Genomic DNA, 26,476 nt, shown 5'->3' with positions numbered 1-26,476 from the left:
ATCCAGGAGGTGGAGTTTGCAGTGAGCTGAGATCGCACCATTGCACTCCAGACTGGGCAACAAGAGCAAAACTCCATCTCTAATAATAATAATAATAGGCCATCCATGGTGGTTCACGCCTGTAATCCCAGCACTTTGGAAGGCCGAGGCAAGCGTATCACCTGAGGTCGGGAGTTCACAAGCAGTCTGACCAACATGGAAAAACCCCGTCTCTACTAAAAATACAAAATTAGCTGGGCGTGGTGGCACATGCCTGTAATCCCAGCTATTAGGGAGGCTGGGGCAGGAGAATCCTTGAACCTGGGAGATGGAGGTTGCAGTGAGCCAAGATCGCGCCATTGCACTCCAGCCTGGGCAACAAGAGCGAAACTCCATCTCAAAAAATAATAATAATAAAAAAATAATAATAATGGTGCAAACTCTGAAGTTTACAACGTGGCTCCAAATGTATTACTAGTAGGATCACCATAGTGCAAGTGTTATCACCTTTAGAGACGAGGAAATAGAGATGTCAAGGCTTTTTTTTCTTCTAAGTCATTGGTATCTACTGTTATTTTATACTTCACAGCCACTTAAATTTAGATGCTAAATTTACATCAGAAATACTTGATCTATAATTAGATTTTATTAAATTTACTATGGATAAAAAGGCATTCACACACCCAAATTATTCTGGGCACTTAAAAGCTTTCCGGCTGGGCATGGTGGCTCACGCCTATAATCCCAGCACTTTGGGAGGCCGAGGCGGGCAGATCACCTGAGGTCAGGAGTCGAACTCCTGGCCAACATGGTGAAACCCCGTCTCTACTCAAAATACAAAAAATTAGCCAGGTGTGGTAGCACATTCCTGTAATCCCAGATACTCAGGAGGCTGAGGCAGCAGAATCACTTGAACCCAGGATGCAGAGGTTGTGGTGAGCCGATATCTCACCATTGCACTCCAGCCTGGGCAACAGAGTGAGACTCCGTCTCAAAAAAAAACAAAGCAAAAAAGAGGCCGGGCTTGGTGGCTCACACCTGTAATCCCAGCATTTTGGGAGGCCAAGTCGGATGGATCACCTGAGGTTGGGAGTTCGAGACCAAACTGACCAACATGGAGAAACCCTGTATCTACTAAAAATACAAAATTAGCCTAGCCGGGTGTGGTGGCACATGCCAATAATCCCAGGTACTCGGGAGGCTGATGCAGGAGAATCACTTGAACCCGAGAGGCGGAGGTTGCAGTGAGCCAAGAACGTGCCATTGCACTCCAGCCCGGGCAAAAAGAGCAAAACTCCGTCTCAAAACAAAAAAGTTTTCCAATAACTGAATCAAGTATCAGTATTTAAATTAAAACTTACATTAAAAGTAAAAGTAAACATTCAGGCCTGGCATGGTGGCTCACACCTGTAATCACAGCACTTTGGGGGCCAAGGCAGGTGGATCACCTGAGGTCAGGAGTTCGAGACCAGCCTGGCCAACATGGGGAAACCCCGTCTCTACTAATAATACAAAAATTAGCCAGGAGTGGTGGTGGGTGCCTGTAATTCGAGCTACTTGGGAGGCTGAGGCAGGAAAATCACTTGAACACAGGAGGCGGAGGTTACAGTGAGCTGAAATAGTGCCACTGCACTCCAGACTGGGCGACAGAGTGAGACTCAGTCTCATTAAAAAAAAAAAAAAAATGCTTCAATACATGTTAACTGCTGAGGAACATTACAACAATATAAACAGAAATAAGCTCAAAATGCATGTTGAAGCATTACAAAATACTGAAAAGGAATTTTTTTTTAAATACTGAATTCACAAGCTTATAGTTCACTTCTGTAACACAGCTGTTAACTCTTCCTTGGTTACTTACATAATGTTAGACTGAATTAAGTAGAATTTTCCTATGAAATTAGCTTTAAATAGTGAGTTGACTTGAATAATAATATATGCATCACTGTGCTTCAACATCCAGTCCATTTCTATTCTCTGTGACTTGTGTATGTCAATATATACCAGTGTCTTGTGGTTTCTCTCTTTTCAGTACCATTAGATATACAGTTGATTTTTTTTTTTGGAGACAGAGTCTCGCTCTGTCGCTGAGGCTGGAGTGCAGTGGCACAATCTTGGCTCACTGCAACCTTCGCCTCCCAGGTTCAAGCGATTCTCCTGCCTCAGCCTCCAAAGTAGCTGGGATTACAGGCCCACGCCGCCATGCCCTGCTAATTTTTTGTATTTCAGTAGAGACAGGGTTTCACCATGTCCCCCAGGCTGGTCTCAAACTCCTGAGCTCAGGCAATCTGCCTGGCTCACCCTCCCAAAGTGCTGGGATTACAGGCCTGAGCCACTGCACCCAGCCTTTTTTTTTTTTTTTTTTTTTCGGAGACAGGTTCTTACTCTGTCACCCAGCCTGGAGTGCAGTGATGCAATCAGAGCTCACCACAGCCTCTATCTCCTGCTCAAGTGATCCTCCTGCTTCATCCTCTCCAGTAGCTGGGACTATGGGCATCTGCCACAATGCCCAGCTCATTTTTTTTATTTTTATATATTTATTTTTTTGAAACGGAGTCTTCCTCTGTCACCTAGGCTGGAGTACAGTGGCAAGATCTTGGCTCACTGCAACCTCCATCTCCAAGGTTCAAGCGATTCTCCTGTCTCAGCCTCCCCGATAGCTGGGACTACAGGTGTGCGCCACCGCGCCCAGCTAATTTTTTATATTTTTGGTAGAGACAGGGTTTCGCCATCTTGGCCAGGTCAGTCTCAAACTCCTGGCCTCAAGTGATCCACTTGCCTCGGCCTCCCAATGTGCTGGGATTACAGGCAGGAGCCACCGCACCCAGCCGACCCCATCTCCTTAAAAAAGAAAAAAATCCACATATACATAGACCCACACAGGTCAAACCCATTTTGTTTAAGGGTCAACTGTACTTTTATTATTAGAATTCAATAAGAGATGAAATGAATGCTTGATGCCCCATCTTCAATTCTCCACTTCAGCGCAAGACGAATTGAGTAACAGGGACCAGGTTATATTGGAAAAAAAAAACATTTTTTGACAAAACGTAAGGACAAAAATGGTTTCCAATTGGCCAGGCATGGTGGCTCACGCCTGTAATCCCAGCACTTTGGGAGGCTGAGGCAGGTGGATCACGAGGTCAGGAGATCGAGACCATCCTGGCCAACACGGTGAAACCCCGTCTCTACAAAAAATACAAAAAATTAGCCGGGCATGATGGCAGGCACCTATAGTCCCAGCTACTCCGGAGGCTGAGGCAGGAGAATAGCGTGAACCCGGGAGGTGGAACTTGCAGTAAGCCGAGATCGCACCACTGCACTCCAGCCTGGGCGACAGAGTGAGACTCCGTCTCAAAAAAAAAAAAAAAAAAAAAATGGTTTCCAAGACCCTGAACATCAGAAAACAGAGAGTAATCCCTAAGAGATAGGAAACAAATGAGATGAGTCCTACAAGTGCCCCAGCTAACTGACTTGAGTAGTTTGTAGAATGTGCTACAAGGAAAAATAACTAAGGCAGAGCCTGGCAGATTCCTTGAGTTGAAAAGATAGATTTGATAGTCTGGGGAGACACAGGCAGCTAGAATTCACAGAACACAGCACCAGAGAAGAAAGAGCTGCATGGAGAGAAAACCCCAGAGACCTGCAGCGTCCCACTTGAGAGCTCAGCAGTGTATTGATCAGTACATGAGTATAAGGGCATTACCCACATCTGTCAAAAGAACCATCTAAAAAGATCAGAGGGAATAGTGCCCAGTGCTCACACAGGGCATGGAATAGTGCCTGTTCCTACACCAGGCAGATTAGAAATGTCATAATTCAGGCTGTGCGTGGTGGCTCACGCCTGTAATCCCAGCACTTTGGGAGCCCGAGGCAGGCAGATCACTTGAGGTCAGGAGTTCAAGACCAGCCTGGCCAACATAGTGAAACCCCGTCTTTACTAAAAATACAGAAATTAGCTGGGCATGGTGGCACATGCCTGTAATCCCAGCTCTCAGGAGGCTAAGGCAGGAGAATCACTTGAATCCGTGAGGTGGAGGTTACAGTGAGCTAAGATCGTGCCACTGCACTCCAGCCTGGGCAACAGAGCGAGACTCTGTCTCAAAAAAAAAATGTTGTTCTCCCTCTCCCCTCTCCGTCGTCTCCGTCTCCCGCTTTCCACGGTCTCCCCCTCTCCCTCATCTCCGTCTCCCGCTTTCCACCGTCTCCCTCTGCTGGACTGTACTGCCTCGATTTCGGCTCACTGCAACCTCCCTGCCTGATTCTCCTGCCTCAGCCTGCCGAGTGCCTGGGATTGTAGGGGCACGCTGCCACGCCTGACTGGTTTTTTTTTTGGTGGAGACGGGGTTTCGCCGTGTTGGCCAGGCTGGTCTCCAGCTCCTGACCTCGAGTCATCTGCCTGCCTCGGCCTCCTGAGGTGCCGGGATTGCAGACAGAGTCTCGCTCACTCAGTGCTCAATGTTGCCCAGGCTGGAGTGCAGTGGCGTGATCTCCGCTCACTACAACCACCACCTCCCAGCCGCCTGCCTTGGCCTCCCAAAGTGCTGAGATTGCAGCCTCTTCCCAGCCGCCACCCGGTCTAGGAAGTGAGGAGCGTCTCTGCCTGGCCGCCCATCATCTGGGATGTGAGGAGCCCCTCTGCCCGGCAGCCCAGTCTGGGAAGTGAGGAGCGCCTCTTCCCGGCCGTCATCCCGTCTAGGAAGAGAGGAGCGTCTCTGCCCGGGCGCCCATCGTCTAGGATGTGGGGAGCGCCCCTGCCCGGCCGCCCTGTCTGGGATGTGAGGAGCGCCTCTGCCCGGCCGCCCCGTCTGGGAGGTGAGGAGCATCTCTACCCGGCCGCCACCCCGTCTGGGAGGTGAGGAGCGCCTCTGCCCGGCCACCACCCCATCTGGGAGGTGAGGAGCGCCTCTGCCCGGCGGCGACCCTGTCTGGGAACTGAGGAGTGCCTCTGCCCGGCCGCCCCGTCTGAGAAGTGAGGAGCCTCTCCGCCTGGCAGCCGCACCGTCTGGGAAGTGAGGAGAGTCTCCGCCCGGCCACCCCGTCTGGGAGGTGGGGGGCGCCCCCGCCCAGCAGCCACCCCGTCTGGGAGGTGGGTGGCGCCTCTGCCTGGCCGCCACGTCTGGGAAGTGAGGAGCCCCTCTGCCCGGCCACCACCCCGTCTGGGAGGTGTACCCAACAGCTCATTGAGAACGGGCCATGATGACGACGGCGGTTTTGTCGAATAGAAAAGGGGGAAACGTGGGGCAAAGAAAGAGAGATCAGATTGTTACTGTGTCTGTGTAGAAAGAAGTAGACATAGGAGACTCCATTTTGTTCTGTACTAAGAAAAATTCTTCTGCCTTGGGATGCTGTTAATCTATAACCTTACTCCCAACCCCATGCTCTCTGAAACATGTGCTGTGTCAACTCAGGGTTAAATGGATTAAGGGCGGTGCAAGATGTGCTTTGTTAAACAGATGCTTGAAGGCAGCATGCTCATTAAGAGTCATCACCACTCCCTAATCTCAAGTACCCAGGGACACAAACACTGCGGAAGGCCGCAGGGTCCTCTGCCTAGGAAAACCAGAGACCTTTGTTCACATGTTTATCTGCTGAACTTCTCTCCTCTATTGTCCTATGACCCTGCCAAATCCCCCCTCGGAGAAACACCCAAGAATGATCAATAAATACTAAAAAAAAATTAAAACAAAATAAAATAAAATTTTTGAGGATCAAAAAAAAAAAAAGAAAATGTCATAATTCATGGCCCATTGGGTAAAGTACTCAGGAAGATCTAGCCTTAGCAGTGGGGAATAATTTGCCCCAGAATGAACAATGCCCTGGACCTGCCTAATAATCCTGAAAAGACAAAAACCAAAGAGAACAAACTGTTTTCAGGTAACTTAACTATATCCCAGAATAAAGCTCAAGAAGATTCACAGGAATACAAAAATATCCTGCATCCAAAAAGTAAAATTCACAATGCCTAACATCCAATAAGATACCAGGCATGCAAACAGGCAAGAAAACATGACCTACAATGAGAATTACAGTATAGGAAAGATATAAAAACATCCAGTCAAAATTCTGAAAGTGGGCCAGTTGTGGTGATTCACACCTATAATCCCAGCACTTTGGAAGGCTGAGGTGAGAAAATTGCTTGAGCCCAGGAATTCAAGACCAGCCTGCACAACCTAGTAAGATCTCGTCTCTAAAGAAAAAAAAAAAAATTCTGAAAATGAAAACCACGTTTGAGATGAAAAATACACTGAATGAAATGAACAGCAGATTAGACATTACAGAAGAAAAGATTACTGAACTTAAAGGCAACTAAGTTCATTTCTGAAAAAAAAATCCAAAACAATGAAAAGAACATCACTGAGCTGTGTCATGATTTAAAGCAGCCTAAGATATACATAACTGGAAGGAGGATGGGGGGTTGTTGGCATAAAAAATATTCAAAGAGATGATGGCCTAAATCTTTCTACCCTTACAATAAAAACCCATAAATCTAAGGCCAGCTGCAGTGGCTCACACCTGTAATCCCAGCACTGCCTGGGAGGCCGAGGCAGGAGGATCACTTCAGCTCTGGAGTTCAAGACCAGCTTGGGCAACATGGTGAAACCCCATCTCTACCAAAAACATAAAAAAATTAGCCTGGAGTGGTGTGCGCCTGTGGTCCCAGCCACTTGGGATGCTGAGATGAGAGGCTGACCTGAGCCCGGAGGCAGAGGTTGCAGTGAGCTGAGATCATGCCACTCCAGCCTGGGTGACAGAGTGAAACCTAATCTCAAAAACAAACAAACAAACAAAAAACGAACAACCTGTAAACCTATAATTCCAAGAAGCTCAATGAAACCTAAACAAAGGAAAGCCACCACGCCCGGCAACAAAAATGTCTTTCAAAAATGAAAGCAACACTTCCAGTTCAGGGTACTGCTTCATACTCCTCCCATTAAGTAAAGCTCAATACCCTGAAATTATATATAAATAAACATGATATGGACTGAAAGGTAGAAAATAGCAGACCAGCACGGGATCTTGGAACTCAAAGAACGACACAGTGCTGGGTTCACTGGGTATTCTTTTTGCCTCATATATCCCAGACTAGATGTTACAGAAGCCAGCAATCTGAAAACATCAATGGGTACAGATTTTAAAAGCCTAAGAAAATCTGTCGCTTTCTAGCCAAAGGACAAGGAGAGAAGGAGCTTTGTTAGAAAACTTTTAGGAGCCGGGCGCGGTGGCTCACGCCTGTAATCTCAGCACTTTGGGAGGCCGAGGCAGGCGGATCACGAGGTCAGGAGATGGAGACCATCCTGGCTAACATGGTGAAAACCCCATCTCTACTAAAAATACAAAAAATTAGCCAGGTGTGGTGGTGCACACCTGCAGTCCCAGTTACTCAGGAGGCTGAGGCAGAGGAATCGCTTGAACCCGGGAGGCAGAGGTTGCAGTGAGCCAAGATCACGCCATTGCACTCCAGCCTGGGTGACAGAGAGAGACTGTGTCTACAAAAAAAAAAAAAAAATTCAAGCAATATACAAAAAGACAACTCCTCCACTAGGTGCAGTGGTTCGTGTCTGTACTCCCAACACTTTGGGAGGCTGAGTTGGGGGGAATTGCTTGAGGCTAGGAGTTTGAGACCACCCTAGGTGACATAGTGAGACCTCCATCTCTACAAAAAAAATTGATTAAAACAAAAAAAACGGGCCGGGCATGGTGGCTCACTCCTGTAATCCCAGCACTTTGGGAGGCTGAGGCAGGTGGATTACCTGAGGTCAGGAGTTCGAGACCAGCCTGGCCAACATGGTGACACCTCATCTCTACTAAAAATACAAAAATTAGCTGGGTGCGGTGGCATGTGCCTGTAATCCCAGCTACTTGGGAGGCTGAGGCAGGAGAATCTCTTGAACCCGGTAGGGGGAGGTTTCAGTGAGCCGTGATTGCTCCATTGCACTCCAGCCTGGGTGACAGAGCAAGACTCCATCTCAAAAAAAAAAAAACAAAAACAAAAACTAGGCCCAGCAGGATAGCTCAGGCCTGTCATCCCAGCACTTTGGAAGGCCAAGGTGGGTGGATCACCTGAGGTCAGGAGTTCGAGACCAGCCTGGCTAACATGGTGAAACCTCGTCTCTCCTAAAAATTATAAAAATTAGCCAGGCGTGGTGGCGGGTGCCTGTAATCCCAGCTACTCGGGAGGCTGAGGCAGGAGAATTGCTTGAATCCAGGAGGCAGAGGTTGCAGTGAGCAGAGATCATGCCATTGCACTCCAGCCTGAGCGACAAGAGCAAAACTCTGTCTCAAAAAAAAAAAAAAAAAAGCTAGAACGAGTAAGTTTAGAAAGGTCATAGAACATAAGCTCAACTAAAAAATCAACTGTATTTCTATATATTAGCAATAAAACATGGACACCTAAATTAAATTAAAAATAAAATACCATTTGTAATAATTGAAAAAATTACTAAGCTATAAATTTAAAAAATACTTTAAATTGCTAATCTCTGTATCATTCCAATTTTAGTATATGTGCTGTCGAAGCAAGCACACTTAGCTATAAATCTAACAAACACATATCAGACTTGTACGCTGAACACAACTTGTACCCTGAATACTACAAAATGCTTATAAAATAATTCCAGGGCTGGGCGCGGTGTCTCACGCCTGTAATCCCAGCATTTTGGGAGGCTAAGGCGGGTGGATCACGAGGTCAGGAGTTCAAGACCAGCCTGGCCAAGATGGTGAAACCCCATCTCTACTAAAAATACAAAAAATTAGCCAGGCGCAGTGGCAGGCGCCTGTAGTCCCAGCTACTCAGGAGGCTGAGGAAGGAGAATCATTTCAACCCGGAGGGTGGAGGTTGCAGTGAGCCGAGATCGTGCCACTGCACTCCAGCCTGGGTGACAGAGTGAAACTCCGTCTCAAAAAAATAAATAAATAAATAAATAAATAAATTCAGGAAAATCTAAGCAAATGAAGAGACGTACTATGTTAATGGATTAAAAGACTCAATAGAATAAAGACGTCAGTGCTCTCCAAAATTCCAAAACAATATATAAATTGAACATTTTTCCTATCAAATTCACAGCAAGAGTTTTTTTCTTTGTTTTTTTTTTGTTGTTGTTGTTGTTGTTGTTGTTGTTGTTTTAGAGACAGGGTCTCCCTCTGTAGACCAGGCTAGGGTACAGTGTTAGTGGTGTTACTATAGCTCACTATAACCTCAAACGTCTGAGCTCAAGCAAACCTTACACCGCAGTGTCCCAAGTAGCTAGGACTACAGTACAGGCATGTGCCATCACATCCAGCTAAATTTAAAATTTTTTTTCGTACAGACAGGGTTAGCTACATTGGCCAGACTGGTCTTGAACTCCTGACTTTGATTTTCCCGCCTCTACCTCCCAAAGCACTCAGATTACAGGCATAAGCCTACATGGCCAACCACAGCAAGATATTTTATAAACAACCTTATTCTAAAATTTATATGTAAAGACAGGGGAAGGCTGGGCATGGTGGCTCACGCCTGTAATCCCAGAACTTTGGGAGGCCAACGCGGGTGGATCACTTGAGGTCAGGAGTTCAAGACATGCCTGGCCAACATGGTGAAACCCCGTCTCAACTAGAAATACAAAAATCAGCCAAGCACAGTGGCATGCACCTATAATCCAAGGTACTCAGGAGGCTGAGGCAGGAGAATCACTTGAACCCAGGAGGCAGACGTTGCAGTGAGCCGAGATCGCACCACTGCAACTCCCGCCTGGGTGACAGAGAGACCCTGACTAGCTGGGGCAACATGGCAAAACCCTGTCTCTACAAAAATTGGCCAGGCGCGGTGGCTCATGCCTGTAATCCCAGAACTTTAGGAGGCCGAGGTGGGTGGATCACCTGAGGTCAGGAGTTCGAGACCAACCTGACCAACAAGGTGAAACCCCGTCTCTACTAAAAATACAAAAAATTAGCCGGGCCCGGTGGCAGGTGTCTGTAGTCCCAGCTAGTCGGGAGGCTGAGACAGGAGAATTGCTGGAACCCGGGAGGCGGAAGTTGCAGTGAGCCGAGATCGTGCCACTGCACTCCAGCCTGGGCGAAGGAGTGAGACTCCGTCTCAAAAAAAAAGGCAAAGCGGTCTGGTGCAGTGGCTCATGTCTATACTCCCAGCACTTTGGGAGGCCAAGCCAAGTGGATCACTTGAGGTTAGGAGTTTGAAAGCAGCCTGGCTCATGCCTGTAATACCTGCACTTTGAGAGGCTGAGGTGGAAGGATTGCTTAAGCCCACGAGTTCAAGACCAGCCTGGGCAATACAGGGAGACCCTGTCTCCACCAAAAAAAAAAAAAAAAAAAAAAAAAAAAAAAAAATTTAACCAGGTGTGGTAGCATTTACCTGTGGTCCTAGCTACTTGGGAGGCTAAGGTGGGAGGATTTCTGGAGCCAAGAAGATCGAGGCTACAGTGAACTATGATCACACAACTGCACTCCAGCCTAGGCAACACAGTGACTCTCTCAAAAACAAACAACAAAAAAAAAGTCCAAGGTTATGCAAAACTACTCAATATGTCTTTTTTTGGGATACAAACAATTTTAGTCAAATTATAAAGAAAAGCAAGTTAAGTGACAAGCATAAAGTTGAAGACAGTGGTTACCCTAGGGCAAAGGAGGGAGCCATGAGGCGGAACTACACAAAGGACCACAAATATGAGGGTAGTCTTCTGTTTCTTTTTTTCTTTTTTTTTTTTGAGACAGAGTCTCACTCTGTTGCCCAGGCTGGAGTGCAGTGGCGCAATCTCAGCTCACTGCTGCCTCTGCCTCCCAGATTCAAGAGATTCTCCCACATCAGCCTCCCAAGTAGCTGGGACTACAGGTAAGCATTACCATGCCGGGCTAATTTTTGTATTTTTTGGTACAGATAGGGTTTTACCATGTTGAACAGGCTGGTCTCAAACTGCTGATCTCAGGTGATCCTACCACTTCGGACTCCCAAAGTGCTGGGATTATAGGTGTGAGCCACTGTGCCCGTCCTTAAACTCCTTTGATTAAAAATATAGGCAGGGCACAGTGGTTCACACCTGTAATCCCAGCACTTTGGGAGGCCGAGGCGGGCGTATTACCTGAGGCCAGGAGTTTGAGATCAGCCTGGCCAACATGCCAAAAGCCCGTCTCTACTAAAAATATAAAAAATTAGCCAGGCATGGTGGCGGGCACCTGTAATCCTAGCTACTCGGGAGGCTGAGGCAGGAGAATTGCTTGAGCCGGGCAGGCAGAGGCTGCAGTTAGCTGAGATCTCTCCACTGCACTCCAGCCTGGGCAACATGAGTGAAACTTCGCCTCAAAAAAAAAAATATATATATATATAAAACAAAACTTACCAATTAACCTTTTTAAAGTGTACAGTTCAGTCTTAAGTAGATTCACATTGTTGTGAAACAGATCTCTAGAACATTTTCATCTTGCAAATCTGAAACTCTGTACCCATTAAACAACTTCCCATTCCTCCTTACCGCAGCCTCTAGCAACCACCATTCTACTTTTCTGTTTACATGAATTTGACTACTTCAGATTCTCATATAAGTGGGGATCATACAATATTTGTCCATTACTGGTTTACTTCACTTAACATAATATCGTCAACATTCATCCATGTTGCAGCATATGACATTTTCTTTTTTATTTTCACTTATTTATTTATTTTTGAGATGGAGTCTCACTCTGTCACCCAGGCTAGAGTGTAGTGGTGCCATCTCGGCTCACTGCAACCTCCACCTCCCAGGTTCAAGCAATTCTCCCTGCCTCAGCTTCCTGAGTAGTTGGGATTACAGGCGCCCACCACCATGCCCAGCTAATTTTTGTATTTTTAGTAGAGACAGGGTTTCACCATGTTGGCCAGGCTGGTCTTGAACTCCTGACCTTAGGTGATCTGCCCTCCTCGGCCTCCCCAAGTGCTGGGATTACAGGCGTTAGCCACCGCACCCGGCCATCTTATTTTTATTTTTTGAAGAGATGGAGTCTTGCTCTGTCACTCAGGGTGGAGTACAGCAGTGCAATCATGGCTCACTGAAGCCTCAACCTCCTAGGCACATGTAATCCTCCGACTTCAGCTTCCAGAGTAGCTAGGACTACAGGCACATGCCACAATGCCCAGCTGATTTTTTTTTGAGACGGAATCTCGTTCTGTCACCCAGGCTGGAGTGCAGTGGCGTGATCTCGGCTCACTGCAACCTCGGCCTCCCGGATTCAAGCAATTCTTCTGCCTCAGCCTCTCAAGTAGCTGGGATTACAGGCATGTGCCACCATGCCCGGCTAATATTTTTGTACTTTTAGTAGAGACAAGGTTTCACCATATTGGCCAGGCTGGTCTCAAACTCCTGACCCTCTGATCCACCCACCTCGACCTCCCAAAGTGCTGGGACTACAGGCGTGAGACACCGCGCCCGGCCTGCCCAGCTAATTTTTGTATTCTTTATTTTATTTTATTTTTTGTGGAAACAGGATCTCGCTATGTTGCTCAGGCTGGTCTGGAACTCCTGGACTCAAGCAATCCTCCCACCTTGGCCTCCCAAAGTGCTGGGATTACCAGCATGAGCCGCTGCATCCAGCCAAGATTTTCTTCCTAAGGCTGAATGATATTCTATTGTATATGACACATTTTGTTTATCCATCTATCAATGGACACTGGGGTTACCTCTCCCTTTTGACTATTGCAAATAATGCTGCTATGAACATGACTGTACAAGTAACTGAGTCCCCGCTTTCATTTCTCTTGGATTCAGACCCAGAAGTGGTACTGCTGGATCATATGGCAATTCTATTTGTTAATTTTTTGAGGGAACTGCCATACTGTTTTCCATAGCTGCTGTACCATTTTACATTCTTACCAACAATACACAAGGGTATATTTCTTAATATATGGGGGCTGGGTGCAGTGGCTCACGCCTGTAATCCCAGCACTTTGGGGGGCTGAGGCAGGTGGATCACCTGAGGTCAATAATTCGAGACCAGCCTGGCCAACAAGGCAAAACCCTGTCTCTACTAAAAATACAAAAATTAGCCGGGTGTGGTGGCACGTGCCTGTAACCCTCGTCACTTGGGAGGCTGAGGCAGGAGAATTGCTTGAAGCCAGGAGGTGGAGGTTTCAGTGAGCCAAAATCACGCCACTGCACTCCAGCCTGGGCGACAGAGGGAGACTCCACCTCAAAATATATATATATATGGAACCTAAGACAAAAGCCTGCACTCACCCCTAATCTGCTAAATTCAAGTTCTCTCCATGATGAGGTTTCAAAAGGAATTAGTGCAAAATGTATTTAAGGATATGACCAGAAAGGAGAAAGAAAAAACAAATGGCTATTACACACACAGCAGAAAAGTAACACTAGGAGGCAAAGGAACTCAATGAAGAAATATTTCGGTGGCAGGCGGTGGTTCAGCCTGTAATCCCCGCACTTTGGAAAGCTAAAGCAGGAGAATCACTTGAGCCCAGGAGTTCAAGACCAGCCTGAGCAACATAGTGATACCCCTGTTTCTATTTATAAATAAATAAATAAATAAATATTTCCAACCAAAGAATACAAACTTAGTAAAGCTAATGAAGGAAGAACACAGTGAAGAGCTGCCGATGTAAGAGAAAAAAAGAAAATTTCCGGAGGAAAAAAGTTCAAAGATTTGCAACTATTTCCTCAGAAGGAACTGGGAAAAGGGAGTTTTGAGTAATAAGGCCTTGTGCAAGTTTCTGACTCTTAAGGATGTGAATGTACTGCCTTAAAAAATAAACTAAAAAGAGCCTCTTTTCTCACCACAACTCAACAATCATGAAGGTATCCTTGCAAGTGTGTGTAGACCTCTCATGCCTCCTAGGTCCAGGGTCACTCGTCCAGGACTCTCCCAATATCCCTGCCCAGAGGAAGCGCTTCCTCAGACTCGGTTCCTTCTGGTTGCCCTTGTCTCGCTTCTCTAGGGTGGGCTGGCCGCTCCCGCACTGGGGTCAAAGATCCTCCGGGTTCTCTCTGCCACGACTCGCCCTGATCCCAAATCCCAGCCCCACGGTCCCCACCCCCAGCGGGCCCAGTCCCCGCTCGATCCTGGGTGTGCGGCCCTCGACCTCAGACCCGGCCCCTGCCCGCCGGCCGCCCCTCACCTCGGCCTCGGAGGCTCCACGCTCCCCCTCTCACAGCCCGCACCTCGGCGGTCTCTCGGAGGAGGGAGGAACCCGAGGTACCTGGTAGTCGTAGCTGAGGAACTTACAGGCTTGTTGACCATCTCACCATGGAAACTGCCGCAGCGCTCCCTGGGCGGGGCCGCCGAGGGGCGGGGCCTGCGCGAATCCCGGGCGCCCGCCAGTCCAGCGCTCCCTGCGCTTCCGGAAGCCTTGCTGCTCCCGCGTGCCTAGCGGGGGCTCGGCCCTATGCCACGGGCATCCCACCCTGCTACCAGCTGCCCTCTTGTCCGCTGGCCGGACTCTTACCCCAGCCTTCTTCAGGAAGACACGGCGCAGTCCGGCTTCCCCACGAAAGCGAAGGTCGCTGGGACCGCGGCTGGGCGTCCGGGGGCGGGGCCGCGACGCCATTGTGACGCGCTCGGAGCAGGGCTGGGCCGAGGACCCCGGGCGCTGGAGGGCAGGCCCTAGCCACTGCTCCTGAGGCCCTGGAGGCAGCTGACGCTTGAGGCCGCTGGGCGCCGCAACGTGAGCCCAAAGGACGCCCCGCTTCAAGACTGGCGCAAGAGGAAAAAATGAAGGTCGTTTTCTGCGGAGGATGTTAGGAGAACGAGAACTGCGGGCCAGAGAACTGACCTAGCTTAAGGAGCGCAGGCAGCCTCTGCCGCCGGCTCTTGGGGAGACACGGAGAGGATGGGGTCCCCGCTCCGCATCAGGTCCTCTGACGCACCCCGGCTTTCCAGGAGGTAGGACTGGCCACAGGCCTCCTTCCCAGGGACAAAGTGCAAAGCAGAGGCTGTCAGCAGCGTGACCTTCGCTGCAGGAGAAATACGCGTCCAGTTCGTTTTCGTCAGAGTTCTGCTACATCAGGCCTGCCGTATTTGCTGTACACAAATCAGCCAACTTCCCAGGCCTGGGTGCGGAGGTATTTGTTAAGCACATGCACACAGTTGGAATTAGCAGCCTCAGGGATCAAAAGTTGTCCTTTTTTTTTTTTTTTTTTTTGGAGACGAAGTTTCGCTCTTGTTGCCCAGGCTGGAGTGCAGTGGCGCGATCTTGGCTCACTGCAACCTCCGCCTCCCGAGTTCAAGTGATTCTCCTACCTCAGGCTCCCGAGTAGCTGGGATTACAGTCGTCCGCCACCACGCCCGGTTAATTTTTTTTGTTTTTAGTAGAGATGGGGTTTCACCATTTTGGCCAGGCTGGTGTCGAACTCTTTTTTTTTTTTTTTTTTTTTTTTTTTGAGACGGAGTCTCGCTCTGTCACCCAGGGTGGAGTGCAGTGGCGCGATCTCAGCTCACTGCAAGCTCCGCCTCCCAGGGTCACGCCATTGTCTTGCCTCAGCCTCCCGAGTAGCTGGGACTACAGGCGCCCGCCACCACGCCCGGCTAATTTTTTGTATTTTTAGTAGAGACGGGGTTTCACCGTGTTAGCCAGGTTGGTCTTGATCTCCTGACCTCGTGATCCGCCCGTCTCGGCCTCCCAAAGTGCTGGGATTACAGGCATGAGCCACCGTGCCCGGCCTGGTGTCGAACTCTTGACCTCAGGTGATCCACTGGCCTCGGCCTCCCAAAGTGGTAGGATTACAGGCGTGAGCCACCGCGCCCCTGCCCAAGAGTTGTCATTTCTGTAGCAAAGCAGCTAAGCAATATTCTTTTGCCTGCCACCTAAATGTGATTAGGTGCAGCATCATTAAGAAAAAAAATAAAAAGCCCGGGCGTGGTGGCTTACGCCTGTAATCCTAACACATTGGGAGGCCAAGGCGGGTGGATCACCTGAGATCAGGAGTTTAAGATCAGTCTGGCCTACATGGTGAAACTCCAACTCTACTAAAAATTCAAAATTAGCTGGGTGTGGTGGCACATGCCTGTGATCCCAGTTATTCGGGAGGCTGAGGCAGGAGAATAGCTTGCACCCGGGAGGCAGAGGTTGCTGTGAGCCGAGATCTCGCCATTGCACTCCAGCCTGGGCAACAAGAGCGAGACTCTGTCCCAAAAAAAAAAAAAAAAAAAAAAAAAAGCCCTGAGACCCACGGTAGCTGGCCTGGATTACTTGATGAACATAAACAGGTTCACAGAAAATTGATATCAGACGAGTTCTTTCTGTGACTGAGGGAAGGAGAAAATAATTCCGATCAGTGATCTTGCCTGCATAAATAAAAACTGGCACTGCGCAACCACACACACAGAAGAATAAACATCCCTTCTTCAGCTAGCATGAGTAATTACTGCTTTTTCTCCAATGACAGCTTTAGCTCCTCTCTATTCCTCCTGCTTTCTGGATTTAAAAAAAATTTTTTTTTTTTTTTTTTGAGAAGGAGTCTTGCTCTGTCGCCCAGGCTGGAGTGAAGTAGCACAATTTCGGCTCACTGCAACCTCTGCCTCCCAGGTTCAAGCAATTCTCCTGTCTCAGCCTCTCGAATAGCTGGGATTACAGGCACCTGCCACCTAGTAGAGATGGGGTTTCACCAGGTTGGCCAGGCTGGTCTCAAACTCCTGACCTCAAGTGATCGCCTGCCTCGGCCTCCCAGAGTGCTGGGATTACAGGCATGAGCCACCGCGCCCCACCTAAAATTGTTGAAATAATCTTTGAGTGGCCGGGCGCGGTGGCTCACGCCTGTAATCCCAGCACTTTGGGAGGCCGAGGCGGGCGGATCACGAGGTCAGGAAATCGAGACCATCCTGGCTAACACGGTGAAACCCCGTCTCTACTAAAAATACAAAAAATTAGCCGGGCGAGGTGGCGGGCGCCTGTAGTCCCAGCTACTCGGGAGGCTGAGGCAGGAGAATGGCGTGAACCCCGCGGGGCGGAGCCTGCAGTGAGCCGAGATCGCGCCACTGCACTCCAGCTTGGGTGAAAAAGCGAGACTCCATCTCAAAAAAAAAAATAATAATAATCTTTGAGTTGCCCCTGTTAGTACAGCACCAATCCAAAACACACCCCTGTCCTTGGACCCTCCCCAAAATCACCAGCCACAAGTCCAAATGGTATAACAAGCCCTCTAACAAGTCTCCTAAGACACCCCATGGTTTCAGAGGTGTGATGTCTCATTGCAGCAACTAACAGCCCCAAATAATAACTAGTTCACAGTGAGGAATATATGCATTCACTGAAATAGCAAATCATCATTCCACCATATGTATGCCTTTTGTAGTCTGACTGGTAGACACGGCAAATATAGATACACTTATATATGAAGGATACGTAACTCATATGCACAAATGAAACTTCAGAGCCTATACTCTAATGAAAAATCAAAATAAATTTTTCTTTCTTTTTTTTTTTAACTCTTTGAGACAGGGTCTTGCACCATCCCCTAGCCAGGAGTGCAGTGGCAGGATCTCAGCTCGCTGCAGCCTTGACAGCTCAAGCAATCTTCCCACCTCAGCCTCTCAGCCTCCCGGTAGCTGGGACGACAGGGGGTCACCACCACACCCAGCTGATTTTTTTTTTTTTTTTTTTTTGAGATGGTGTCTCGCACTGTCTCCCGGGCTGGAGTGCAATGGTGCGATCTCGGCTCACTGCAACCTCCACCTCCCAGGTTCACGGGATTCTCCTGCTTCAGCCTCCGGAGTAGTTGGGATTACAGGCGCACACCACCACACCCGGCTAACTTTTTGTGTTTTTAGTAGAGAGGGGGTTTCACTATGTTGGCCAGACTGGTCTCAAACTCCTGACCTCATGATCTGTCCTTCTTGGCCTCCCAAAGTGCTGGGATTACAGGGTTGAGCCACCGTTCCTAGCCACACCCAGCTGATTTTTAAATTTTTTTGGAGAGACACAGACTTGCTATGTTACCTAGGCTGGTCTCTAACTCCTGGGCTCAAGTGATCCTCCTCCTGCATTGGCCTCCCAAAGTGCTGGGATTACAGCTGTGAGCCACTGCATCTGGCCAAAACAAACATTTCTTTTTTTTTTTTTTTTTTTGGACACTGAGTCTTGCTATGTTGTCCAGGCTAGAGTGCTGGGGTGTGATCTTGACTCACTGCAACCTCTGCCTCCCAGGTTCAAGCGATTCTCCTGCCTCATCCTCCCAAGTAGCTGGGACTACAGGCACACACCACCACGCCTGGCTCATTTTTGCATTTTTAGTAGAGACAAGGTTTCACCATGTTGCCCAGGCTGGTCTTGAACTCCTGAGCTTAAGTGATCCTCCTGCTTTGGCCTCCCAAAGTGCTGGGATTACAGACGCGAGCCACTGCACCCAGCTAATTTTTTTATTTTTAGTAGAGATGGGGTTTTGCCATGTTCGCCAGGTTAGTCTCAAACTCCTGACCTCAGGTGATCTGCCCACCTCGGCCTCCCAAAGTGCTACTCGGGAGGCTGAGGCAGGAGAATGGCGTGAACCCGGGAGGCGGAGCTTGCAGTGAGCCGAGATTGCGCCACTGCACTCCAGCCTGGGCAACACAGCAAGACTCCGCCTCAAAAAACAAAAAAAAATTAGCCAGGCATGGTGGCAGGCGCCTGTAATCCCAGCTACTCGGCAGGCTGAGGTGGGAAAATCGCTTGAACCTGGGAGGCAGAGGTTGCAGTGAACCGAGATCACGCCACTGCCTAGGCAACAGTGCGAGACTCTGTCTCAAAAAAAAAAAAAATACAAAAATTAGCTGGGCATAGTGGCGCAAGCCTGTAGTCCCAGCTACTGGGGAGGCAGAGGTGAGAGAATCGCTTGAACTTGGGAGGCAGATGTTGCAGTGAGCTGAGATCGTGCCATTGCAACATAGGGAGGCCCCATCTCAAAAAAAAAAAAAAAAAAAGAACCACAGATGTAGCCAGGCACAGGGGCTGATGCGTGTAATCCCAGCTACTCAGGAGGCTGTGGTGAGAGAATCATTTGAGCCTGGAACTTTAAGACCAGCCTAAGCAACGTAGTGAGACCCTGTCTCTAAAAAAAAAAATTTTAGGCCAGGTGCGGTGGCTCACGCCTGTAATCCCAGCACTTTGGGAGGCTGAGGCAGGTGGATCATGAGGTCAGGAGTTCAAGACCAGCCTGGCCAAGATGGTGAAACCCTGTCTCTATAAAAAATACAAAAATTTTCCTGGTGTGGTGGCGGGCACCTGTAATCCCAGCTAATCGAGAAGCTGAGGCAGAGAATTGCTGAGATCACGCCACTGCACTCCAGCCTGGGCAACAAGAGCAAAACTCCGTCTCAAAAAAAAAAAATTTTTTTTAATAAGCTAAAACAGGCTGGGAACATGGCTAAAACCCGTCTCTACAGAAAACATACAAAAAAATTAGCTAGGTGTGGTAGCAAGTGCTGGTGGTCCCAGCTACTCAGGAGGCTGAGGTGGAAAGATCACCTGAGCCCAGGACGTTGAGGCTACAGTGAGCCATGATCATGCCACTGCACTACAGCCTGGGCAACAGAGTAAGACTCTATCTCAAAATAATTAATTAAAATAAATATAAAATTAAATTTAAAACCCCAAATGTGGCTGAGTGTGGTGGCTTACACCTATAATCCTAGCACTTTGGGAGGCTGAGGCAGGAGGATCAATTAAGCCCAGGAGTTTGAGACCAGCCTGGGCAACACAGTGGGACCCTGTCTCTATAAAAAATAAAACCCACAAATCTGCAGGAGGAACAGGAAAAGTTTTGGTAAGGCGGCATTGTCAAATCAAAAGAGAAGGAAGGAAGGTATCTCTTTAGACTCTGCAAACACATTGACACATCTCCTGAGCTTTTCTTGGTGTTGTCAGCATCACCCAGCCCCATCCCCTACTCCTAGACTTCCCCAGACACAGAAATTAATCAACACTGTACAGGACAACCAACAAAACAGAAAATAGGGTACTCAAGCCTGGACACCAGACAGTCACCATGGGACAGCCCAGCCTTCTGCAGTAATAGTGGACAGATGTTTCCATTCAGGGAATCCAATAATAAAAGGAAAATAAATGTGCATGTTAAGGGCAGAAAAGAGGGAGAAGAGGGATTACTTGACTTACAGCAATTGCAGCTTGGAGTCTGTCTTCCAGAATCTGATGGCTTTCATAATTATGTGGTATGAGTGGAGGCTACCTCTGTAGCAGTGCTGTAGAATAGAATATAGAAATACATAAGCCAGCCAGGCACAGTGGTTCACGCCTGTAATCCCAGCACTGTAGGAGGCAGAGGTGGGTGGATCCTCTGAGGTCAGGAGTTCAAGACTAGCCTGACTGACATGGAGAAACCCTGTCTCTACTAAAAATATAAAATTAGCCAGGCATGGTGGCGCATGCCTGTAATCCCAGCTACTCCGTAGGCTGGGGCAGGAGAATTGCTTGAACCCAGGAGGCGGAGGTTGTGGTGAGCCGAGACCGCGCCACTGCACTCTAGCCTGGGCGACAGAGCAGGACTCTGTCTCAAAAAAAAAAAAAAATTGCTACTAGCTGCATTTATAAAAGTAAAAAGAAACGGGTGAAATTAATGTTAATATTTTATTTGATTCAATATATCCAAACTATTATATTTCACATGTGATTAATAAAGTTATCCATGAGACATTTGACATTCTTTTTTTCTGTATTGTCTTTGAAACCTGGTATTACAGCACATCTCAATGCATATGCTATATCTTCCTGGGTATACTTAATTTTTATTTAGAATCCATAAAAATAATAGTTGACGCTGGGTGCAGTGGCTCAAGCCTGTAATCCCAGCACTTTGGGAGGCCGAAGCGGGCAGATCACGAGGTCAAGAGATCGAGACCTTCCTGGCCAATATGGTGAAACCCCGTCTCTACTAAAAATACAAAAATTAGCTGGACATGGTGGTGGGTGCCTGCAGTCCCAGCTACTCAGGAAGGTGAGGCAGGATAATCGCTTGAACCTTGGAGGTGGAGATTGCAGTGAGCCGAGATCAGGCCACTGCACTCCAGCCTGGCGACAAAGCAACACTCTGTCTCAAAAATAAAATAAAATAATAGTTGAAAAAGTAGATTCACATACCCAAGTTGTTCTAAACATACTTAAAAGTCTTCTAGGCCGGGCGCAGTGGCTCATGCCTGTAATCCCAGCACTTTGGGAGGCCGAGGCGGGTGGATTGCCTGAGATCAGGAGTTCGAGACCAGCCTGGCCAACATAGTGAAACCCTGTCTCTATTAAAAATACAAAAAAATTAGCTGGGCGTGGTGGTGGGCACCTGTAATCCCAGCTACTAAGGAAGCTGAGGCAGGAGAATCACTTGAACCCATGAGGCAGAGGTTGCAGTGAGCCGAGATCATGCCATTGCACTCCAGCCTGGGCAACAAGAGCAAAACTCTTGTCTCAAAAGGAAAAAAAAAAGTCTTCTAATAACTGAATGAGTATTTGTTTTTAAATTTAAGGCAAGGACATGAAGAAATGTCAGCTCTATGTACTGTTGATAGAAATGTAAAATGGTGCAGCACTATGGAAAAGAGTTCTGGCAGATCCTCAGGAAACAGAATTACCATACATACGATCCAGCAGTACCACTTTTGGGTATATATGCAAAAGAATTCAAAGCAGAAACTCAGATATTGTATGTTCATCTTCATAGCAGCATTATTTACAATAGTCAAAAGATAGAGGTGAGTCAAGTGTCCACTGGTTAGATGAATGGATGAACAAAATGTGGTATATACATACAGTGGAGTTTATTGTTGTTTTTCTTTCTGAGACGGAGTCTTGCTGTGTTGCCCAGGCTGGAGTGCAGTGGCACCATCTTGGCTCACTGCAACCGCTGCCTCCTGGGTTCAAGCAGTTCTCCTGCCTCAGGCTCCCTAGTAGTTGGGATTACAGGCGCATGCCACCACACCTGGCTCATTTTTGTATTTGTAATAGAGACGGGGTTTCACCATGTTGACCAAGCTGGTCTCGAACTCCCAACCTCAGGTGATCCACCCACCCCAGCCTTCCAAAGTGCTGGGATTACAGACAAAGCAAGACCCTGGCTCAAAAAATAATACAATACAATAAAATAAAAAGTCAGCCTCTCAGTGGCACTAACCACATTTCTTTTTTTTTTCGCGACAGAATCTCGCTCTTTCACCCAGGCTGGAGTGCAGTGGTGCGATCTCGGCTCACTGCAACCGCTGCCTCCCGGGTTCAAGTGATTCTCCGGCCTCAGCCTCCCGAGTAGCTGGGACTACAGGTGCGTGACACCACGCCTGGCTAATTTTTTGTATTTTTAGTAGAGACATGGTTTCACCATGTTAGCCAGGATGGTCTCGATCACCTGATCACGTCATCCGCCAGCCTTGGCCTCCCAAAGTGCTGGGATTATAGACGTGAGCCACCGCGCCTGGCCAAACTAACCACATTTCAGGTGCTCAACAACTTTTCATGGCTAAATGGCCCCTGTATCATACAATGAGCTCTAGTCTGAGACAGAACAATGGAAGTCCTATCTTAAACCTGACCTGTTGCTCAGTCTGTATGCTAAGGTACTGCCTTTCTTGACTTACCCTGAAGGGTTGGAACCCCTTTATCTGACAAGCCTTGCTTATTATTCTGTTATTTCACAATATGCTGCAGTATGCTGTGGGAGTTTTACTAATATGTATAGAAGAGGCCGGGCGCAGTGGCTCATGCCTGTAATCCCAACATTCTGGGAGGCTGAGGTGAGTGGATCACTTGAGGTCAGGAGTTCGAGACCAGCCTGGCCAACATGGTAAAACCCCAACTTTACTAAAAATACAAAAATTAGCCAGGCGTGGTGGCACATGCCTATAATCCCAGCTACTCAGGAGGCTGCGGCAGTAGAATCGCTTGAACCCAGAAGGCAGAGGTTACAGTGATCCAACATTGCGTCACTGCACTCCAGGCTAGGCAACAGAGTGAGACTCTGTCTAAAAAAAAAAAAAGTATAGAAGAAAAATGCAGCCTCCTAATATGCTATCCATCGACTTTTACTCTGTGGATGCAAAATTTCTCAGAATGGAGGCATAGGGAGCTTACTCTAACTCCGTTTGTCGACTCATGAAATTGTACCCTAACATGGATGACTTCACACCAAAGGCACTGACCCAATGTCTATGAATTGAAAGCAGCTTATTGTAAGGTTGTCTCATTTATGAACAGCACAGGGACTTGATATCTGAAACGGAGGGTGAAGGAGCGCTGCTCCATAGGCTTCAGGAGGGTTTGCTCTGACTTTGCTTCAAGGGCTTAATGTGGTTGGTTTTAATTTAGTTTTTAGTACAGTATAGGGTTCCTAACAGGTGCACAATATACATTTATTTCAGATAAGGATTGATTGGAAATGTGCTATTTTTATATTAGTCTTTATATTTCATTGCTGTGTGATTTAATCAAACTTTTCAATTCTCAAATATTCTGTTTGTTTCCAATTACATGCAGCTCCTGCATGTGTCTTCTTTTCTGAAAACGTATAATATCTGACTTATCCCTCAGCTTGGCAGTAAGCGCTCTAAAAAGCAAGGATGCTGGCCAGGCGCGGTGGCTCACGCCTGTAATCCCAGCACTTTGGAAGGCCGAGGCGGGCAGATCACGAGGTCAGGAGTTTGAGACCAGCCTGGCCAGCATGGTGAACCCCTGTCTCTACTAAAAATATAAAAAATTATCTGGTCATGGTGGTGCATGCCTGTAATCCCAGCTACTCAGGAGGCTGAGTCAGAAGAATCACGTGAACCCAGGAGGCGGAGGTTGCAATGAGCCAACATCGCACCACTGCACTCCAGCCCGGGCGATAGAGCGAGACTCTGTCTCAAAAAAAAAAAAAGCAAGGATGCTGGTATCCAACACGTTAAAAAATAAATAAAAGCAAGGACAGAACAGTTTAATTCTTCTTAACTTCTATACCATCAGGCACAGAGCTCAATAAATTTTCAGTATTTGCTGACTACTAGAAATATTTTTTCCGTAAGAGTTCATGTGCATTTTAATCTTACTATATATGCTGCTGAAGTGAGCACATGTTCACATGTATTTTGTGGTTTTTTTGGTTTTGGTTTCTTTTTTTTTTTTTTTTTTGAGACAGTCTCCTCTGTCACCCAAGCTGGAGTGCAGTGGTGTGATTTCAGCCCACTGCAACCTCCGCCTCCTGGATTCTAGTGATTCTGCTCCCTCAGCCTCCCTGCTGGGTTCTAGTGATTCTCCTGCCTCAGCCTCCCAAGTAACTGGGACTCCAGGCACGCACCACCATGCCTGGCTTATTTTTAAATTTTTATTAGAGACAGGGTTTCACTATTGGTTGGCCAGGCTGGTTTCAAACTACTGAATTCAAGTGATAGGCCCACGTCGGCCTCCCAAAATGCTGGGATTACAGGCGTCAGCCACCATGCCCGGCCTACATGTATTTTCTTTTTCTTTTTTTTTTTCTTTTTTTTTTTTTTGAGATAGTCTCAGGCTGCCGTCCAGGCTGGAGTGCAATGGCATGATCTCAGCTCACTGCAACCTCCTCCACCTCCCGGGTTCAAGCGATTCTTTTGCCTCAGCCTCCCAAGTAGCTGGGATTACAGGCGCCCGCCACCACACCCGGCTAATTTTTGTATTTTTAGTAGAGACAGAGTTTCACCATGTTGGTTAGGCTAGTCTTAAACTCCTGACCTCAGGTGATCCACCCGCCTTGGCCTCCCAAAGTGGTGAGATTACAGGCGTAAGCCACCATGACTGGCCGTTTTTTTTTGTTTTTTTTTTTGTTTTTTTTTGAGGCAGGGTCTCACTCAGGTTGCCCATGCTGGAGTGCAATGGCGCCATCTCGGCTCACTGCAACCTCTGTCTCCTGGGTTCAAGCGATTCCCCTGCCTCAGCCTGCTGAGTAGCTGGGATTACAGGCAAGCGCCACCACACCTGGCTAATCTTGTATTTTTAGTAGAGTCGGGGGTTTTTCCATGTTGGCCAGGCTGGTCTCAAACTCCCAACCTCAGGTGATCCATCTGCCTCGGCCTCCCAAAGTGCTGGGATTATAGGCATGAGTCACCGTGTCCGGCCAAAAACATTTTTTTAAAGAGATTGAGGGGGAGGGGGGTCTCACTATGTTGCCCAGGCTGGTCTCCAGCTGACCTCAAGTAATTCTCCTGCTTTAGCCTCCCAAAGTGCTGGAATTACAGACATGAGCCACCACATCTAACCCATAAAGGCACATTTAAGGGGCATGGTTGCCCAAGTGCATTTCAGCACCAGAAAGAACCATGGGGAGAGGATCCCAGCCATGGAAACAGACCTGTCAGGTGTGGTCAAGATGAATGAAAACTAACTTTGTGGCTAAGTCAGCCAACTTACAGGAAATCAGCAAACTGATAGGAAATAATATTTATAGTTAACATTTTTAGGAAACCAAATTGCTTTTCACTGCTTTTACAGATATCGGTAGACTTACTTATAGATTCAGTATTCATTACTTCGTTGTATATTGAATCAAGTGGCCCTCTCTCTCTTAAGGGATGAAAGTTAGGCCTGGCTGGCAGAAGTGAGACTGGCTGGGATAGAAGAGAAAGAGTCCCAGTTAAGACCCGTTATAGCTGGGCGCGGTGGCTCACGCCTGTAATCCCAGCACTTTGGGAGGCTGAGGTGGGCAGATCTCGAGGTCAGGTGATTGAGACCATCCTGGCTAACAGGGTGAAACCTCATCTCTACTAAAAATACAAAAAATTAGCTGGGCGTGGTGGCGGGCGCCTGTAGTCCCAGCTACTCAGGAGGCTGAGGCAGGAGAATGGTGTGAACCCAGGAGGCGGAGCTTGCAGTGAGCCGAGATGGTGCCACTGCACTCCAGCCTGGGCGACAGAGCGAGACTCTGTCTCAAAAAAAAAAAAAGACCCATTATTTTGCTGTCCAGAAAACTTATCCCAGGGAAGCTAAGCTAAGCAACTTTGGAAAAGTTGCCTAAATGGTGAATAGCTGCACAGAAACCCACTGTGCCTGAGTCCTATTCTAACCATCTTCCTCTCAAGCCAGACTGATTTATTTGCTATGTGTGTATGCATGTGTGTGTCTCCTTGCTTTGCCCAGTAAAAAGTACTATAAGTACCATACCATAAGTACAAAGTAGTGTAAGACTGTAAAAGTGAGCATACAAGCTGATACCATGCAAAGCAATCTTAATGATCAATGAGAAAAATTATGATTGTTCTGTGACTTTCAAAATTTTTTGCCAAAACATTAAAAACTCTTTCAGTTTGAAATGTACAGGGAAATGAAAATAGTAAAACTAATATTTATCTGGTACTATGTAATTTAATACATTAGAAATATTGAGGCCAGGCGCAGTGGCTCACACTTACAATCCCAGCACTTTGGGAGGCCAAGTTGGGCAAATCACCTGAGGTCAGGAGTTTGAGACCAGCCTGGTCAACATGGTGAAACCCTGTCTCTACTAAAAATACAAAAATTAGCCAGGTGTGGTGGTGGGCGCCTGTAGTCTCAGCTACTTGGGAGGCTGAGACAGGAGAATCACTTGGAACCGGGAGGCGGAGT

At 47.7% G+C, this 26,476-nt stretch overlaps 1 protein-coding gene across 14 annotated transcripts in view, besides 2 other annotated features; it reads right to left on the bottom strand.

Moving 5' to 3' along the window:
- Positions 1-14,495, bottom strand: part of ZNF487 (zinc finger protein 487) — an 87,047-nt gene extending 72,552 nt beyond the window's left edge. For 4 of the 14 annotated variants that reach the window (XM_047425629.1, XM_024448132.2, NM_001355444.3 and 1 more), the window contains exon 1: positions 14,081-14,232. Coding sequence is in view for 2 of the 14 variants with exons in the window: in NM_001355448.2 (NP_001342377.1) it covers positions 14,188-14,202 (15 nt within the window). In the remaining 12 variants the exon portion in view is untranslated. Of the gene's footprint in view, positions 1-13,739; positions 13,837-14,080 lie in introns of all 14 variants that reach the window. The other 10 variants (XR_007061981.1, XM_047425633.1, NM_001355445.3 and 7 more) reach the window with 6 other exon arrangements.
- Positions 13,948-14,607: a silencer, noted in NCBI's record as "silent region_2332". NCBI's record gives its function as "represses an Ori minimal core promoter by ATAC-STARR-seq in GM12878 lymphoblastoid cells {active_cell/tissue: GM12878}" and the evidence as "EXISTENCE:reporter gene assay evidence [ECO:0000049][PMID:35858748]".
- Positions 14,708-14,777: an enhancer, noted in NCBI's record as "active region_3300". NCBI's record gives its function as "activates an Ori minimal core promoter by ATAC-STARR-seq in GM12878 lymphoblastoid cells {active_cell/tissue: GM12878}" and the evidence as "EXISTENCE:reporter gene assay evidence [ECO:0000049][PMID:35858748]".

The sequence above is a fragment of the Homo sapiens genome, chromosome 10 (assembly GCF_000001405.40).
Source record: "Homo sapiens chromosome 10, GRCh38.p14 Primary Assembly".
NCBI lineage: Eukaryota > Metazoa > Chordata > Mammalia > Primates > Hominidae > Homo > Homo sapiens.
Note: the sequence above shows the minus strand (reverse complement) of the source record. Positions and strands in the feature narration are given on the sequence as shown.